The 18,858-nt window shown below is 52.7% G+C and overlaps 1 protein-coding gene and 1 long non-coding RNA gene across 10 annotated transcripts in view; one reads left to right on the top strand and one right to left on the bottom strand.

Moving 5' to 3' along the window:
- DOCK6 (dedicator of cytokinesis 6) overlaps nucleotides 1–18,858 on the top strand; it is a 63,230-nt gene that overhangs the window by 40,788 nt on the left and 3,584 nt on the right. For all 8 annotated transcript variants that reach the window (NM_020812.4, XM_047439124.1, NM_001367830.1 and 5 more), the window contains 13 exons: nucleotides 4,346–4,506; nucleotides 4,641–4,823; nucleotides 5,810–5,936; nucleotides 6,266–6,350; nucleotides 7,088–7,184; nucleotides 7,328–7,462; nucleotides 8,409–8,561; nucleotides 9,586–9,744; nucleotides 9,861–9,961; nucleotides 12,634–12,826; nucleotides 12,908–13,051; nucleotides 17,406–17,537; nucleotides 17,642–17,656. In NM_020812.4, the coding sequence (NP_065863.2) occupies nucleotides 4,346–4,506; nucleotides 4,641–4,823; nucleotides 5,810–5,936; nucleotides 6,266–6,350; nucleotides 7,088–7,184; nucleotides 7,328–7,462; nucleotides 8,409–8,561; nucleotides 9,586–9,744; nucleotides 9,861–9,961; nucleotides 12,634–12,826; nucleotides 12,908–13,051; nucleotides 17,406–17,537; nucleotides 17,642–17,656 (1,685 nt within the window). The remainder of the gene's footprint in view (nucleotides 1–4,345; nucleotides 4,507–4,640; nucleotides 4,824–5,809; nucleotides 5,937–6,265; nucleotides 6,351–7,087; nucleotides 7,185–7,327; nucleotides 7,463–8,408; nucleotides 8,562–9,585; nucleotides 9,745–9,860; nucleotides 9,962–12,633; nucleotides 12,827–12,907; nucleotides 13,052–17,405; nucleotides 17,538–17,641; nucleotides 17,657–18,858) is intronic.
- Nucleotides 164–18,109, bottom strand: DOCK6-AS1 (DOCK6 antisense RNA 1). Of its 2 annotated transcripts, none has more exons than NR_186345.1 (3): nucleotides 17,872–18,109; nucleotides 15,629–15,927; nucleotides 164–1,759 (listed from the first exon to the last, which is right to left on the bottom strand). It is a non-coding gene; the product is annotated as a DOCK6 antisense RNA 1 (long non-coding RNA). The 2 variants fall into 2 exon arrangements; NR_134909.1 differs by lacking the exon at nucleotides 164–1,759 and adding an exon at nucleotides 5,569–5,600.

Here is an 18,858-nt window from a genome sequence, read left to right as displayed (position 1 = left end):
AGCAGAGCAGGTTAAAGTGCTAGGACAGACTACTTAAGTCATAACATCTCTGAGCCTCAGGTTTCTCCCCTGTAATGGAGACAGTAACAACACCAACTACTTCATAAGGTTATGTGAAAATGTGGGGGGCTGTAGTACTGAGATATTGTCAGCCTACAATAGATGGGAGATATTATTGTACCATTTATTATTTTCTAAGAAGAGCAAAAAGTAGGGAACATCCAAGTGAGAAAATGATTGGAGTACATTCATTCACTCATTTTCAACAAACATTTATAGGCATTGTTGAGGGGGGTGGTATAACAGTGGTTGGAAGTACAAAATTGGGATTTGTGGGTGGATGCCTTTCATCAGTTTGGGGAAATTCTTAGCCATTCTCACTTGAATTTTTTTCTGCCTCATTTTCACTCTTCACTCCTGGGACTCCAATTACACATATATTAGGCCTTTTGATCACATCTGTTATGTCCTGTTCTGTTTTTTCCATTCTTTCCTCTCTGTAATCCAACTGGGAAGTTTTTTGTTCACTTGTCTATGAGTTCACCACTTATGTCTTCTGTTGTGCCCAGTGTCCTGTTGACCCCATCCGTTGAGTTCTTAATTTCAGATATTAGGCCGGGCGCAGTGGCTCATGCCTGTAATCCCAGCACTGCAGGAGGCTGAGGCAGGCAGATCACGAGGTCAGGAGATCGAGACCATCCTGGCTAACATGGTGAAACCCCGTCTCTACTAAAAATACAAAAAATTAGCTGGGCATGGTGGTGGGTGCCTGTAGTCCCAGCTACTCGGGAGGCTGAGGCAGGAGAATGGCATGAACACGGGAGGCGGAGCTTGCAGTGAGCTGAGATCGCACCACTGCACTCCAGCCTGGGCGACAGAGCGAGACTCCGTCTCAAAAAAAAAAAAAAAAAAAATTCAGATATTATATATTTTTTTCCAGTGTAAAATATCCATGTGATTTTTTTGTAGATCCCAATTCCCTGTTGAAATTCTCCATCTTTTGTCTCATTTTTGCTCATCTTTTCTTCTAACTTTAAAAGTTTCTGTTTGCTGACTTCCAGATTTGATCATCCATGTGTCTGCTTCTGTTGTCTCTTTTTCTCTCTTATCCACCACATTTTCCTGCCTCATCCCTTGCCTTGTAGTTTTTTATTATATTCTGGACATTGTATAAAAAAGAACCATAGGGATGAAGCAATGTCATCTTTGCCCAGTGAGAAGTGTCCTTTCCCTCTCTTAGGCAGATAGGATAACAGGCTGATCACCTCAGTCCAATCAGGAATTGAGCTAGGCTGGACTGGGCTAGAGCTTTATTTACACTCAGTCTACCTTTTGTTTCAGGAGACTCTAGGGCAAGATCTGCTATATATTTGTTGACAACTCCTCCCTCTGTTGAGACTTTTTAGGGGAGAGAATGGGGGTTACCTTTTTAAGAGCATAGACTTGGGAACCAGACTGTTGAGGATAAAATTGTAGCTTTTGGGCTGGGCACATGTGGTTCATACCTGTAATCCCAGCACTTTGGGAGGCCGAGGCAGGTGGATCACCTGAGGTCAGGAGATCGAGACCAGCCTGGACAACATGGTAAAACCCTGTCTGTCCCAAAAATACAAACATTAGCTCGACGTGGTGGTGGGCACCGGTAATCCAAGCTACTTGGGAGGCTGAGGCAGGAGTATCGCTTGAACCTGGGAGATGGAGGTCGCAGTGAGCCGAGATTGTGCCATTGCACTCCAGCCTGGGCAACAAGAGCAAAACTCTGTCTCAAAAAAAAAACAAAAAACAAAACAAAAAAATTGTAGCTCTTCCATTTACCTGCTATGTGACCCTGGGCAAGTAACTTAACCTCACTGTACCTCAATTTCTTCGTCCATAAAGTGGGACTAATGAAAGTACTTATCTCCATATGGTTGTTTTGATGATTAAGAGTAAATTTTTTTTTTTTTTTTGAGACAGAGTCTCGCTCTTGCCCAGGCTGGAGTGCAGTGGCGCTATCTCGGCTCACTGCAAGCTCTGCCTCCTGGGTTGACACCATTCTCCTGCTTCAGCCTCCCGAGTAGCTGGGACTACAGGCGCCCGTCACCACGCCTGACTAGTTTTTTTTGTATTTTTAGGAGAGACAGGTTTCACTGTATTAACCAGGATGGTCTCGATCTCCTGACCTTGTGATCCTCCCGCCTCGACATCACAAAGTGCTGGGATTACAGGCGTGAGCCACCACGCCCAGCCGATTAACAGTGATTTTTTTAAGCCGGGTGCAGTGGCTCATGCCTGTAGTCCCAGCACTTTGGGAGGCTGAGGTGGGCGGATCACAAGGTCAGGAGTTTGAGACCAGCCTGACCAACATGGTGAAACCCAGTCTCTACTAAAAATACAAAAAAAAAAATTAGGCAGGCATGATGCTGCATGCCTGTAATCCCAGCTACTTAGGATGCTGAGGCAGGAGAATCACTTGAACCCGGGAGGCAGAGGTTGCAGTGAGCCGAGATCGCGTCACTGCACTCCAGCCTAGGCAACAGAGCAAGACTCCATCTCAAAAAAAAAAAAAAAAAAAAAAAAAAACCGGGCGCAGTGGCTCATGCCTGTAATCTCAGCACTTTGGGAGGCCGAGGCGGGCAGATCATGAGGTCAGGAGTTCAAGACCAGCCTGGCCAACATAGTGAAACCCCATCTCTACTAAAAATACAAAAATTAGCCAGGCATGGTGGCACGCACCTGCAGTCCCAGCTACTTGGGAGGCTGAGGCAGGAGAATCACTAGAACCTGGGAGGCGGAGGTTGTGGTGAGCCAGGATCATTCTACTGCACTCCAGCCTGGGCAACAGAGTGAGACTCCGCCTCAAAAAAAAAAAAAAAAAAAAAAGTGATTTTTTTTTTTTCTTGAGCTCCTATGATTTGAAAGAGTGAATATTTTTAAAGTCCTTAGAACAGCATCTGGCACATAGGAGATACCATATAAGTGCTGATTGATGCTATAGTAATAACATCAAGGCCAGGTGCAGTGGCTCATACCTGTAATCCCAGCACTTTGGGAGTCCAAGGTGGGCGGATCACTTGAGTCCAGGAGTTGAGGACCAGCCTAGACAACCTAGTGAGACCACGTCTCTGCAAAAACTACAAAAATTAGCTGGGCGTGGCAGCACGCACCTGCAGTTCCAACTACTCAGGAGGCTGAGGTGGGAGGATCACTTGAGTTCAGGAGGTTGAGGCTGCAGTAAGCCAAGATTGTGCCACTGCACTCCAGCCTGGGTGACAGAGTGAGATCCTGTCTGAAAAAAATAAAATAAAATTGGCCAAGTGCAGTGGCTCACGCCTGTAATCCTAATACTTTGGGAGGCCGAGGCGGGCAGATCATTCGAGGTCAGGAGTTTGAAACCAGTCTGGCCAATGTGGTAAAACCCCATCTCTACTAAAAATACAAAAATTAGCCATGCACGGTGGCGCGCACCTGTAATACCAGCTACTCGGGAGGCTGAGGCACGAGAATTGCTTGAACCCGGGAGGCAGAGGTCGCAGTGGGCCAAGATGGCGCCACTGTACTCCAGCTTATGTGACAAAGCAAGACTGTATCCAAAAAAAAATAAAATAGGCCAGGCGCCATGGCTCATGCCTATAGTCCCAGCACTTTGGAAGGCTGAGACGGGCAGATCACAAGGTCAGGAGTTTGAGACTAGCCTGGCCAACATGGTGAAACCCCGTCTCTACTAAAAATACAAAAATTAGCCGGGTGTGGTGGCGGGTGCCTGTAATCACAGCTACTCCGGAAGCTGAGGCAGGAGAATTGCTTGAACCTGGGGGGCGGAGGTTGCAGTGAGCTGAGATCAGGCCACTGTACTCCAGCCGGGGCAACAGAGCAAGACTCCGTCTCAAAAAACAATAATAAATAAAATAAGTAAAATAAGTGAATTCCAGGAGCAGACAACCAGAAACCCACTCTTGGGGACTGTTGTGAGGGAAGACTTCTTTTTTTTTTTTTTTTTGAGACAGAGTGTCGCTCTGTTGCCCAGGCTGGAGTGCAGTGGCGCGATCTCGGCTCACTGTAACCTCCACCTCCCAGGTTCAAGAGATTCTCGTGCCACAGCCTCCCGAGTAGCTGGGATTACAGGCGCCCGCCACCACACCCAGCTAATTTTTTGTAATTTTAGTAGAGATGGGATTTTGCCACGTTGGCCAGGCTGGTCTCGAACTCCTGACCTCAGGTGATCCACCCGCCTCTGCCTCCCAAAGTGCTGGTATTACAGGCGTGAGCCACTGTGCCTGGCCATGAGGGAAGACTTCTGAAATTTGAGACAGGGACAGCACTTACCAAGGGTTTATCTTTCTTTCCCTCTGTCTTTCCCTGCCAGAGGGCCCAGGTCAGCGGTCAAGACTGGCCTCAATGCTTGACTCAGACACAGAAGGCGAAGGGGACATTGCGGGTACCATCAACCCCTCTGTGGCCATGGCCATTGCTGGTGGCCCCCTAGCCCCTGGCTCCCGGGCCAGCATCTCCCAGGGGCCACCAACGGTGAGTAGGGAGGCTTGTCCCCATAGACATCATCCACTTTGAATGAGAGAAGTCATGTATCAAGATACAGATTGGCCAGGATTCATCTCACATGGAGAAAATGGAAATTGACTTTGATTCCTCTCTGGCCCCAGGCTTCTCGCGCAGGCTGTGCCCTCTCTGCTGAGTCAAGCCGGACCTTGCTGGCGTGTGTGCTGTGGGTGCTGAAAAACACCGAGCCGGCGCTCCTGCAGCGCTGGGCCACTGACCTGACACTCCCCCAGCTGGGACGTCTGTTGGATTTGCTGTACCTTTGCCTAGCTGCCTTTGAGTACAAGGTTTGAGGGCGTGGGCAGGAGATGATGGAGGAGGCAGGCTAAGGATGTACCCAGGGACCCAGCGTGCTGCGGGCTGAGTGGGAAGGGGTGGACTGTCTTTGTGCAGAGGACTCTGTGGGACTGAGAGGAAAGGGGTGGACTGTTTCTGTGCTGAGGCAAGGAATAAAGTCAGAAGTGCCTTTGTGAATAGAATTTGGAAGGTGGAGGCCGGGTGCAGTGGCTCACACCTGTAATCCCAGCACTTTGGGAGGCCGAGGCAGGTGGATCGCCTGAGGTCAGGAGTTCAAGAGCAGTCTGGCCAACATACTGAAACCCCGTCTCTACTAAAAATACAAAATAATAGCTGGGTGTGGTGGCGCGCACCTGTAGTCCCAGCTACTTGGGAGGCTGAGACAGGAGAATCACTTGAACCCGGGAGGTGGAGGTTGCAGTGAGCTGAGATTGTGCCACTGCACACCAGCCTGGGCAACAGAGTGAGACTCCATCTCAAAAAAAAAAAAGAAGAAAAGAAATTTTTTTAAAACAGGGCCTGGTGCGGTGGCTCACGCCTGTAATCCCAGCACTTGAGGAGGCTAAGGCAGGCAAACTGCTTGAGCCCACGAGTTTGAGACCAGCCTGGGCAGCATGGTAAAACCCCATCTCTACGAAAAATACAAAAATTACCTGAGCATGGTGGCACATGCTGGTAGTCCCAGCTATGGAAGTGGCTGAGGTGGATTGCCTGAGCCCAGGAGGTGGAGGTTGCAATGAGCCAAGATCATGCCACTGCTCTTCACCCTGGGCGACAGAATGAGAGAGACTCTGTTTCAAGAAAAAAAAAAAATTTTTTTTTTGGTAAGTGCTAAGAATTTAGAGGAAAAAGGCAATCTGTCTTTAAGCACAGGGGCCCGGAGGTGAGAAAGAGCACAAAGAAAGGGATGGGGCCAGCCCAGGTCCCCCCGAAAAGAGCAGAGTCAGCCTGGAACCCCAGTTCTCTGCACCCCCAGGGGAAAAAGGCCTTTGAACGCATCAACAGCCTCACATTCAAAAAATCTCTGGATATGAAGGCGCGGCTAGAGGAAGCCATTCTGGGTACCATCGGAGCTCGACAAGAAATGGTTCGGCGAAGTCGTGGTAAGAGGGTGACATACCCACGTGTCCCCATCCCACCAGCTGCTCCCACCTTGTGTCAAGGGGACCCCATGAAGGGGGCCATCCCTAGCTTACTTTCTGCCTCACTTTTCCTGGAGAGAAGTCCACAAATCATCACCGTACACATGCGCCTGTGCGTCCCCATCTGTCACTCGTGTTTGCCCCTGTGCGTCCACCCGGCAGGCTTCTGCTCCACCCAGTGCCCTCATGGGTCAGCCCACCTGAATATCTTCATGCCTGTGCATTTCTCCTGATGTTCACGTGTGCCCTGTGTTTTTACGCATCTGTGATCGTGCACCCACGCGTCTCAGAGAGGAGCCCGTTTGGGAATCCGGAGAATGTGCGCTGGCGGAAGAGCGTCACACACTGGAAGCAAACCTCAGACCGCGTGGACAAGTAGGTGTGGGCAGGAGGGTGTCTGCTGAGTTCAGAACAGTTTGGGCCGAGGCAGGAGGATTGCTTGAGTCCAGGAGTTCGAGACCAGCCTGGGCAACATAGTAAGACCCTCTCTACCAAAAATTTAAAAATTAGCCGGGCATGGGCCGGGCGCAGTGGCTCATGCCTGTAATCCCAGCACTTTGGGAGGCCGAGGCAGGCGGATCACAAGATCAGGAGATCGAGACCATCCTGGCTAACGGTGAAACCTTGTCTCTACTAAAAAATATATAAAAAATAAGCCAGGTGTGGTGGCAGGTGCCTGTAGTCCCAGCTACTAGCGAGGCTGAGGCAGGAGAATGGTGTGAACCCGGGAGGCGGAGCTTACAGTGAGCCGAGATCGCGCCACTGCACTCCAGCCTGGGTGACAGAGCGAGACTCCATCTCAAAAAAAAAAAAAAAAAATTAGCCAGGCATGGTGGCATGTGCCTGTGGTCCCAGCCACTCATGAGTCTGAGGTGGGAGAATGACTTGAGCCTGGGAGGTTGAGGCTGCAGTGAGCTGGTGATCACACCACTGCACTCCAGCCTGGGCAACAGAGCAAGACCCTGTCTCAGAAAACAAAAAAAACAAAAACAAAAAACAGAACAGCTTCCAGGGAGCCAGTGCCCCCTGGGCTGCCAGGGGAAGGAGAGAGCTCAGCCATGGAGTAGGATCTCACCCCGAGTGGGCCCCCAAGACCTCCTTTCCCCTTCCAGGACCAAGGATGAAATGGAACACGAGGCCTTGGTGGAAGGGAACCTGGCAACCGAGGCAAGCCTAGTGGTTCTGGACACACTGGAGATCATCGTGCAGGTAGGGCTTGATCCAGCATCTGCCTTGTGCTCTGAGCCCAACTGCAGTGCCCTGTGGTCTCTGACTCCATAATCCCTCTCCTTCCCTTTCCCCATAACCACCCTAGGCTCTAACACCTGGATTTCTGACCCCCTTCCCTCCAGACGGTGATGCTTTCAGAAGCCCGGGAGAGCGTCTTGGGGGCAGTGCTGAAGGTTGTGCTGTACAGCCTGGGCAGTGCCCAGAGTGCCCTCTTCTTGCAGCATGGCCTGGCCACCCAGAGGGCCCTTGTGTCCAAGGTGAGCACCACTCAACAACCATGATTCTTAGAAAAACAGTAGCAGCTCTAGGCTGAGCACAGTGGCTCATGCCTCTAATCCCAGCACTTTGGGAGGCTGAGGTGGGAGGATCGCTTGAGGCCAGGAGTTTGAGACCAACCTGGGCAACATAGTGAGGCCCCTGTCTCTACAAAAAAATTAAAAATTAGCTAGGACTAGGCACGGTGGCTCACACCTGTAATCCCAGCACTTTGGGAGGCTGAGGCAGGAAGATCATGTGAGCCTAGGAGTTCGAGACCAGCCTGGGCAACACGGTGAGACCCCATTTCTACAAAAAAATAAACTGAGTGTGGTGGCATGCACCTGTGGTCCTAGCTACTCGGAAGGCTGAGGATCACTTGAGCCCGGGAGGTCAAGCCTACAGTGAGCCATGATCGTGCCACTGGACTCCAGCCTGGGCAACACAGTGAGAGCCTGTCTCAAAAAAAAAAAAAAAAAATGTTAGCCAGAGAGGATGGCACACACCACCTGAGATCCCAGCTACTAGGGAGCTACTAGGGAGGCTGAGGCAGGAGGATGGCTTGAGCCTGGGAGTTCAAAGCTGCAGTGAGCTGTGATTGTGCCACTGCACTCCAGCCTGGGAGACAAGAGCAAAACTCCGTCTCAAAAAAAAAAAAAAAAAAGGAGCTCATTCATTGAGCACTTACTGTGTGCTCTGCAACTCCATGGAGCTGACTGCTTTGCCACAGTTTACAGTGGAAGGAAGGCAGAATCAGAGTGGCCAAGTCACTCACCTGGGGTCACACAGCAAGGGGCTTAAACCCAGGTCTGACTCCGAACCCAGTGGTACTTGGCCAAAGAGGACAGAACACAAACCCCTGCCCAAGCAGTCCTCATTTGGGCCAGTCCCCTTCTGAGCCAGAACGGGGAGGGGCTGGACAGTGTCTGTCTGGGTCCTTGGGGGCAGTTCCCGGAGCTGCTGTTCGAGGAGGACACGGAGCTGTGTGCCGACCTGTGCCTGAGGCTCCTACGACACTGTGGCAGCCGCATCAGCACCATCCGCACGCACGCCAGCGCCTCGCTGTACCTGCTCATGCGACAGAACTTCGAGATCGGCCACGTGAGTGGGGGCTAGGAGGCATGGTCCACACATGGCTCTGGTCAGGGTGGCCAGTGGGGTCTCAACCATACAGGGAGTGAGGGAGGGGGAGACAGTCATTGAGCATAATGAGCAGGAGGAGGGCTCAGAATGCAATTGGGGGTCAGGTGCCGTGGCTCATTCCTGTAATCCCAGCACTTTGGGAGGCTGAGGTGAGAGGATCACTTGAGGCCAGGAGTTTGAGGCTGCAGTGGGCCACGACTGTGCCACTGCACTCCAGCCTGAGCAAGAGTGAGACCTTGTCTCAATAAAAAAAAAAAAAAAAAAAAAAGGGCCAGGCACAGTGGCTCATGCCTGTAATCTCAGCACTTTGGGAAGCTGAGGCAGGTGGATCACTTGAAGTCAGGAGTTCGAGACCAGCCCAGCCAACATGATGGAACCCCGCATCTCTACTAAAAATACAAAAATTAGCTGGGCATGGTGGCGGGTGCCTGTAATCCCAGCTACTTGGAAGGCTGAGACACGAGAATCGCTTGAACCTGAGAGGCGGAGGTTGCAGTGAGCCAAGATTGCACCACTGCATTCTAGCCTAAGTGATAAAGTGACACTCAGTCTCAAAAAAAAAAAAAAAGAAAGAAAGAAAGAAAAGAAAAAATGCTGGGCGCAGTGGCTCACACCTGTAATCCCAGCATTTTGGGAGGCCTAGGCAGGTGAATCACTTGAGTTCAGGAGTTCGAGACCAGCATAGCCAACACAGTGAAACCCTGTCTCTACCAAAAATACAAAAATTAGTAGGGCGTGGTGGCATATGCCTGCAGTCCCAGCTACTCGGGAGGCTGAGGCAGGAGAATTGCCTGAACTCGGGAGATGGAGGTTGCAGTGAGCTGAGATCATGCCACTGCACTCCAGCCTGGGCGACAGAGTGAGACCCCCATCTCAAAAAAAATAAAGAACGCAAGGGCCATGTCGGCAGGTTGAGCAGACTCTGATGTGGGGTCTGGGGTCTGAGACTCCCGGCTCCACCCTCCCGCCCCTGTCCCTGCAGAACTTTGCCCGTGTGAAGATGCAGGTCACCATGTCTCTCTCGTCCCTGGTGGGGACGACGCAGAACTTCAGTGAAGAGCACCTGCGACGTTCACTCAAAACCATCCTCACCTATGCTGAGGAGGACATGGGGCTGCGGGACAGCACCTTCGCAGAGCAGGTGACACCTGCTGGGTCCCCGCCCCGCCTCCCCTTCATATAACTCCCAACCCCACCACCTTGGCTCCCTTCACTTCCTAATGCTCTCATTGGCCCCTGGACGTTCCCCGGCTCCAGGTCCAGGACCTGATGTTCAACCTGCACATGATCCTGACGGACACGGTGAAGATGAAGGAACACCAGGAGGACCCTGAGATGCTCATCGACCTCATGTACAGGTGAGGTGGGCCAGCTGGCACCTTCAGCCACGCCCACGCCCCAACAGGTGCAGGGAGAACAGGGATGAGAGTAGATGTCTAAGGAGGTGAGGAGGGAGCAGGGGAGCATACAGTCCCTAACAGAGGCAAGTGAGGGGGACAGGTGAGCAGACAGCTGAGCAGACAGGTGAGGGGGACAGGTGAGCAGACAGCTGAGCAGACAGGTGAGGGGGACAGGGGAGCAGACAGGTAAGGGGGATAGGGGAGCAGACAGGTGAGGGGGACAGGTGAGCAGACATGAGGGCACAAGTAAGGAGAGAACAGATGAGCAAACAGGTAAAGAGGATGCCAGGAGAATGTACTGATGAGGATGACAGATGAGAGCCAGGACAGGTGAGGGGGACAGGTGAGGTGCTTACAGGTGAAGGGAAATGAGATCCAGAGAGTAGACCCATTGAGGAGTGTAGGAGAGGCGGACGGGTGATGGAGATGGGGGAGGTGGGGCATATGGGAGGGATAGGTGGATAGACAAGTGAGATGGTGCACAAGGAAGGGGAAATAGTGAGTTCAGGTGACTCAAGTTTCCACAGGTAGAGTCAACTCAAGAGCGGAGGGTCAAGTGAGAAATGAAAAGGTGGGGCAGGGGGGTGAAGGGATAGACAGGTGAGGGGTTGGATAAGCGAGGAGACAGGTGAATAGAGGAAGCGGGGAGATGCTGCATAGGTGAGGAGACAGGTGAGTAGGATGGATGGGTGAGGAGACAGGTAAGTGGGAAGACAGGAAAAGGGTTGGACAGGCAGGTGAGTGGGTGAAGAAATGGACAGGTGAGGACACAAGTGAGGGGGTGGACATGTGAGGACACAGGTGACAGGATAGACAGGTGAGGGGATGGACAGGTCAGGAGGTAAAGAAGTCAGGAGGTGAACAGGTGAGGAGACAGGTGAAGGGATGGACTGGTGAAGAGATGGCCAGATGAGAAGATGAACAGGTGAGGAGGTGGACAGATAAGGAGACAGCTGAAGGGATGGCCAGGTGAGGTGAACAGGTGAGGGGGTGGACAGGTGAAGAGACAGTGAAAGGATGGACAGGTGAGGGGTAGATAGGTAAAGGGGTGGACAGATGAGGGGATAGACAGGCGAAGGAATGGACAGGTGAGAGGGTGAACAGGTGAGGGGACAGACAGGTGAAGGGATGGACAGGTGAAGGGATGGACAGGTGAGGGGATGCACAGGTGAGGGGGTGGACAGGTAAGGGGATGGGCAGGTGAAGGGATGGACAGGTGAGGGGGTGGACAGGTGAGGGGATAGACAGGTGAGGGGGTGGACAGGTGAAGGGGTGAACAGGCAAGGAGACAGGTGAAGGGGTGAACAGGCAAGGAGACAGGTGAAGGGATGGACTGGTGAAGAGATGGCCAGATGAGAAGATGAACAAGTGAGGAGGTGGACAGATAAGGAGACAGGTGAAGGGATGGCCAAGTGAGATGAACAGGTGAGGGGTGGACAGGTGAAGAGACAGTGAGGGGATGAACAGGTGAGGGGTGGACAGGTGAAGAGACAGTGAGGGGATGGACAGGTGAGGGGTGGACAGATGAGGGGACAAACAGCTGAAGGGATGGACAGGTGAGAGGGTGGGCAGGTGAGGGGTGGACAGGTGAGAGAGTGGACAGGTAAGGGGATAGACAGGTGAGAGGTGGACAGGTGAGAAGGTGGGCAGGTGAGGGGATAGACAAGTGAAGGGATGGACAGGTGAGAGGGTGGACAGGTGAGACGGTGGACAGGTGAGAAGGTGGGCAGGTGAGGGATGGGCAGGTGAGAGGGTGGACAGGTGAGGGCGGGCAGGTGAGAGGGTGGACAGGTAAGGGGATAGACAGGTGAGAAGGTGGACAGTTGAGGGGGTGGACAGGTGAGGGGGTGGACAGGTGAGGGGATAGACAGGTGAAGGGATGGACAGGTGAGGGGGTGGACAGGTGAGAGGGTGGGCAGGTGAGGGGATAGACAAGTGAAGGGATGGACAGGTGAGAGGGTGGACAGTGAGGGGGTGGACAGGTGAGGGGGTGGACAGGTGAGGGGATAGACAGGTGAAGGGATGGACAGGTGAGGGGATAGACAAGTGAAGGGATGGACAGGTGAGGGGCTGGACAGGTGAGGGGATAGACAGGTGAAGGGATGGACAGGTGAGAGGGTGGACAGGTGAGGGGATAGACAAGTGAAGGGATGGACAGGTGAGGGGGTGGACAGGTGAGGGGATAGACAGGTGAAGGGATGGACAGGTGAGAGGGTGGACAGGTGAGGGGATAGACAAGTGAAGGGACGGACAGGTGAGGGGGTGGACAGGTGAGGGGATAGACAGGTGAGTAGGATACACGTGAGGAGACTGGCTGGTCAGTGGGAGACAGCAGGACAAGTGAGGAGGAAGATGACTACAGGAATACGTAAGGTAGGCAGGGGAGGAGACAGGTGAAGACAGATGACTGGCCAGCAGGTAAGAAAATAGGCGAAGGGGAAGACAGGTGGGGAGATAGATGAGGGATGGCCAGGTGAGGGAATGAGTGAGGGGATGGGGTACAGGTGAGGAGATTGGCTGGTCCTTGGGGCGGACATGGGGGTAACCAGTGAAGAGAATGGACAAGTGGGAGGCAGGTGGGGAGGACCAGGTGAGTCCCCTCCTCACATCCCCCCTCACCTGGACTCCAGAATTGCCCGGGGCTACCAGGGCTCACCGGACCTTCGGCTGACCTGGTTGCAGAACATGGCCGGGAAGCACGCGGAGCTGGGCAACCACGCCGAGGCCGCCCAGTGCATGGTGCACGCGGCCGCCCTCGTGGCTGAGTACCTCGCCCTGCTCGAGGACCACCGCCACCTGCCCGTGGGCTGCGTTTCCTTCCAGGTGAGTGGCCAGGGGTTGGCAGGTGGCGGACGGCACGAGTGCAGTGGGGACCAGGGTCTGACGCCACCTCTCCCACCCCAGAACATCTCATCCAACGTGCTAGAGGAGTCCGCCATCTCCGACGACATCCTGTCGCCCGACGAGGAGGGCTTCTGCTCCGGGAAGCACTTCACTGAGCTGGGGCTGGTAGGGTTGCTGGAACAGGCAGCCGGCTACTTCACCATGGTGAGGCCTTGGGGACTGGGTGCAGGAGAGGGGGCTCGGGCCAGGGAGGTGCCATCAGATCTGCTTCCTAGACCCTTCCAGCAGGGGATTTAGAAAGAAGGAGAATAGGCTGGGCGCGGTGGCTCACGCCTGTAACCCCAGCACTTTGGGAGGCGGAGGCAGGCAGGTCATGAGGCCAGGAGTTCGAGACCAGCCTGGCCAGCATGGTGAAACCCTGTCTCTACTAAAAATACAAAAATTAGCCGGGCGTGGTGGCGCACGGCTGTAATCCCAGCTACTCGGGAGGCTGAGGCAGGAGAATCGCTTGACCCAGGGAGGCAGAGGTTGCAGTGAGCCAGAATTGCGCCACTGCACTCCAGCCTAGGTGACAGAGTGAGACTCTGTCTCAAAAAAAAAAAAAAAAAAAAGGAAGGAGAATTGGGTTTCTCAGAGGCCCTGTTATTTGCCTATGTCTCCATGAGACCCTTGATGCAGGCCTGATATAGCAAGCCTTACATACATTAGAGATGCTTTCAATTTTCCTTTCTTTTCTTTTTTCCTTTCTTGTTTTTTTGTTTGTTTGTTTTTGACAGAGTCTTGCTCTTTTGCCCAGGCTGGTGTACAGTGGTGTGATTGTAGCTCACTCAGCCTCGAACTCCTGAGCTCAAGTAATCCTCCCACCTCAGCCTCCCAAGTAGCTGGGAACACAGGCACATGCCACCATGCCTGGCCAATTTTTAAATTATTATATATATTTTTTCTTTGTGATATTTTTTGAGACAGGACCTCCATTCTGTCACCTAGGCTGGAGTGCGGTGGCGTGATCATGGCTCACTACAACCTCGGCCTCCAGGGCTCAGGTGATTCTCCCACCCTGGCCTCCTGAGTAGCTGGGACTACAGGCACACATCACTATGTCCGGCTAATTTTTTGTATTTTTTTGTAGAGACGGGGTTTTGCCATGTTTCCCAGGCTGGTCTTGAACTCCTGAGCTCAAGTGATCTGCCCGCTTCAAACTCCCAAAGTCATGGGATTACAGGTGTTGTGCCACTACACCCTGCCAATTTTTAATTTTTTCATAGAGAGGGAGTCTTACTATGTTGCCCAGGCTGGTCTCAAACTCCTGGCCTCACTCAATCCTCCCACCCAAGCCTCCCAAGTAGCTGGGACACCCAGCAATGCTTGAAACTTTCTATACTAAAATAAAAATGAGTCAGGTGCAGTGGCTCATGCCTGTAATCCCAGCACTTTGGGAGGCTGAAGCAGGAGGATCACTTGAGGCCAGGAGTTCAAGACCAGCCTGGGCAACATGGCAAACCCTGTCTCTACAAAAAAATACAAGAAATTAGCTGGGTGTGGTGGCATGCACCTGTAGTCCCAGCTACTCAGGAAGCTTGAAGCGGGAGGATCACTGGAGCCCAGGAGGTTGGGGCTACAATGAGTTGTAATCGTGCCACTGTACTCCAACCTATGTGACAGAGTGAAACCTTGTCTCAAAAAATAAATAAAATAAAGATTTGGGATATTCGCATGCATCTTCAAGTTGGAGAAGCTCCAGCTTAAAGCAAATCCCAGGCTGGGCGCAGTGGCTGACTCCTGTAATCCCAGCACTTTGGGAAGCCAAGGCAGGCGGATCACGAGGTCAGGAGTTCAAGAATAGCCTGGCCAACATGGTGAAACCCCATGTCTACTAAAAATACAAAAATTAGCTGGGCATGGTGGCAGGTGTCTGTAATCCCAGCTACTCGGGATGAGACTCGCTTGAACCCGGGAGGCGGAGGTTGCAGTGAGCTGAGATCATGCCCACTGCACTCCAGCCTGACAGACAGAGCAAGACTCTGTCTCCAAAAACAAAAAACAAAAAAAAAAAAACCACCACAAATCCCAGCTATTTTCCCACCACTCCCACAAGTACCCCCTGTGCAACCCTTCCTGATAAAGACCCTTTTATAAAACTTTTATCCCGCGTGGCCAAGTTAATGGTCATCCTTTATTTCATTGCACTCTATATTTAGATGTCCCAGATGATCTCTGATGTATCTTTTCTGGGGTGACTTGGTTTGAATCAGGATCCATTAAGGGCCCACAATGGCTGTCGCTGATCTGTATCCTAAGTCTCTTTTTTCTTTCTTTCTTTTTTTTTTCTGAGACAGGGTCTTACTCTCTCACCCAGGCTGGAGTGCAGCCTGGCTCACTGCAGCCTCTATGTCCTCGGCTCAGGTGATCCTCCCACCTCAGCCTCCTGAGTAGCTGGGACTATAAGTGCGCACCACCACACCCAACTAATTTTTTTTTCTTCGTTCATTTTTTTTTTTTAAGAGATGGGATCTTGCTATGTTGCCCAGGCTGGGCTTGAACTCCTAGACTCATGCAACCCTCTCGCCTCGGCCTTCCAAAGTGCTGGGATTACAGGCGTGAGCCAGCATGCCCGGCAACTGATTTTCCACTGTGGAAAAGGGGTTTTCTTCTCTAGTTTGCTTGTTTGTATGAGGGCAGTTGGTGGTTTCTACATTTAACTTGCAGGAGCCCTGGGGCCTTTGCTCCGTGTGTTTTTCTGGTTTGTGTGGGGCTGGCTGTGTCCATGTGATGTCATTTTACCTGTTTCTCAGTTCCTCACATTTTGGGGAACTGGCAGTTACATTTGAGAGCTCAGTGAGATTCAAGGTCACACTTGAAGTCAGGTGTTCCAGTGAGATTTCTTCTGTGGTGCTGGCCCTTTAGTGACATTATTTTCATTATTGTCACTTTGCTGGATTCTTGGAGACGAAGGCCTCAGAGGAAGGGCCAGGTGCGGTGGCTCACGCTTGTGATCCCAGCACTTTGGGAGGCCGGGGCGGGCAGATCACTTGAGGTCGGGAGTTCAAGACCAGCTTGGGCAACATAGAGAAACCCTGCCTCTACAAAAAAAAAAAAAAATACAAAAAATTAGCTGGGCATGGGCGCAGTGGCTCATGCCTGTAATCCCAGCACTTTGGAGGCCGAGGCAGGCGGATCACGAGGTCAGGAGTTTGAGACCAGCCTGGCCAATATAGTGAAACCCCATCTCTACTAAAAATACAAATATGGCTGGGTGCAGTGGCTCACGCCTGTAATCCCGGCACTTTGAGAGGTCGAGGTGGGTAGATCACAAGGTCAGGAGTTCGAGACCAGCCTGGCCAATATGGTGAAACCCCGTCTCTACTAAAAATGCAAAAAAAGTAGCTGGGCGTGGTGGCACATGCCTGTAATCCCAGCTATTAAGTAGGATGAGGCAGGAGAATTGCTTGAACCCAGGAGGCAGAGGTTGCAGTGAGCCGAGATCATACCACTGGACTGCAGCCATCTCAAAAAAAAAAATACACGGGTGGGGTTAAGGGGAGGGATAGCATTAGAAGAAGTATCTAATGTAGGTGACAGGTTGATGGGTGCAGCAAACCACCATGGCACGTGTATACCTATGTAACAAAACTGCACGTTCTGCGCATGTACCCCAAAGTATTAAAAAAAAGATTACGAAAAAAAACCATACACACACAAAAGCCTCAGGGGAAGAAACCAGGGGGTGGACACAGGCCTTCTGACAGTCAGCAAACCTCACAGGATGCCTGTTTTGAGCCAGGCTTGATGCCAGCACCCGCTGGGGGTGAGGGGCATATTACCACATGCCAGAAGGCAGTTGGGCATGGAGGTCATGGGCACAGGGCCAGATGGGTGGGTGTTTGGGTCTTGGCCCTGGGGAATGCCTCTGTCTCTGAGACTCACTTTCCTCTTTGAGGAATAGGAAAAAAAAACTGCTTCTCCCATCAATGAGGGAAGACAGATGGGTGAAGTGCAGATGTACATCGTACCTGTGCCATAGAATATTCTTGCTAAAAGTGGTGAAGGGCTGGGAGAGTGGTGGCTCACACCTGTAATCCCAGCTAATCAAGAGGCCAAGGCAGGAGGATCACTTGAGCCCAGGAGTTCAAGACCAACTAGGGCAATATAGTGAGACCCTGACTCTACAAAAACTAAAATAAAATTATTTGGGCATGGTGGCATGTACCTGTAGTTCCAGCTATGTGGGAGGCTAGGGTGGGAGCATCTCTTGAGCCCAGGAGTTGGAGGTTGCAGTGAGCTATGATTGTACCACTACACTCCAGCCTGGGTGATGGAGTGAGACCCTATCTCAAAAAAACAAAAAAGATAAGTAGCAGTGAAGACCATGGAGCCCTCTGTGGGAGCTGAGTGGAAAGGCTCAACCCCTATCTGGGATAGGGGTGGTCAGGGTGGGCTTCCTGGAGGAGGTGATGGAGGGTGGGTAGGAGCACGGAGGCTCACAAGGGAGATGGGTAGACAGGAGCACAGTGGAGAGAGGAAGACAGTTTGGGGAATCCTGACCCCACCTCACCCTCAGGGCGGGCTCTACGAGGCGGTGAATGAGGTCTACAAGAACCTCATCCCCATCCTGGAAGCCCACCGTGACTACAAGAAGCTGGCCGCGGTGCACGGCAAACTGCAGGAGGCCTTCACCAAGATCATGCACCAGGTGGGCCCAGGACCCCCTCCCCAGACCCCACCCTCAGCCCCACTCCTCATCCCCACTCCTCATCCCCAGGGATCTGCTGACCTTGACCCTTCTCTTCCCCACAGAGTTCCGGCTGGGAGGTGAGTCAGCCTTGGTGGACAGCCACCTGCCTCTGGGACCCCCGTGATGACTGGCCAGCAGCCATCAGTGAACACCAGGGGGCACCAGAGGAGCATGGCCGCTGGCCCTTGGGGCTGGGGCTGTGGCCACAAGGGACCCACCCCATTATTTCCCTCCCTTCCCCAAAAATGCCCCCACCCCCCGCCCCAGATCTCGAGGGCAGCTTGTGACTCACCCAGCTGGGAGCTCTCCAGAGACACCCCTCCCTCTGCCAGGGCCAGCTTGGTCACTGCAGGGGGGTGGCGGGGTGACTCTTGACTCCCTCATGGTCTCTTGGTCTCTTTCTCATCTCTCCCCAGTCTATCACGTGGCTCTCCCTATCTTGGTATCTCACTGTCTCTTAGTCTCTGTCTCTCCCTGCGTACCCAGCTTCCAGCCTCCCCCAGGCTCTCTGCTCCTCATTTCTGGTTAATGTGTCCTCCCGCTCCAGCCCCCCCGAATCCCGCTTCTTCCCTGCTTAGGTCTATTTTTAGGCATCTCCTAGTTTGGGGAGAATGTTCTGGCCAAAGATGGCAGAAACCCAGAGCCCAGGCAGGCAGGCTGGGTGGGAGCTGGGTGGGGAGGGCAGGTCCTCTTCGCCCCCGCCCCCCTCCCGTCTCTGATCTCTCCCCCCACGGAATGATTCTCACGGGGCAGTGTTAACCAGGACCCTGGGGGTTGAGGGAACTCTGACCTCTGACCTCTCCCATGACATTGTCTCTCTGTCCCCCACACCTCTGGCCCCACCATGTCTGCCCCATCCTCCCCGGATCGGCCTTGGTAAGTGAACATCCAGCCATTCTACTTCCTTTCCAGTCATGGGGTGGTGTTTTTAGGGTGGTAGGGAGGGGGTTCCTTCTTCCAAACTTAGGGCTGGGGACAGGAGCAGGGGAATGCCATGGAACAAGGGAACCAGAGCCACTGTCCTAGAGTGAGACACAGCCATCCCTTCCCTCAGCCATCCAAGCATTTATGGGGTACCTACTGTATACCCATTCTTGTGGGCCTCAGGGCACAGGAAGGAGAATGCCCTAGAACAAAGGAGGCAGAGCCTCCATCCTAGAGTGAGAGACAGCCATCCCTCTCCTCAGCCATCTATGCATGTATTGGGTACCTGCTGTATACCCTGTCCCACGGGCATTAGGGACACACCCGTAAACAATACAGCCCCAGTCCTAACTTC

This window comes from Homo sapiens, chromosome 19, assembly GCF_000001405.40.
Source record: "Homo sapiens chromosome 19, GRCh38.p14 Primary Assembly".
Taxonomy (NCBI): domain Eukaryota; kingdom Metazoa; phylum Chordata; class Mammalia; order Primates; family Hominidae; genus Homo; species Homo sapiens.
This window is presented reverse-complemented; position numbering and strand designations above follow the sequence as displayed.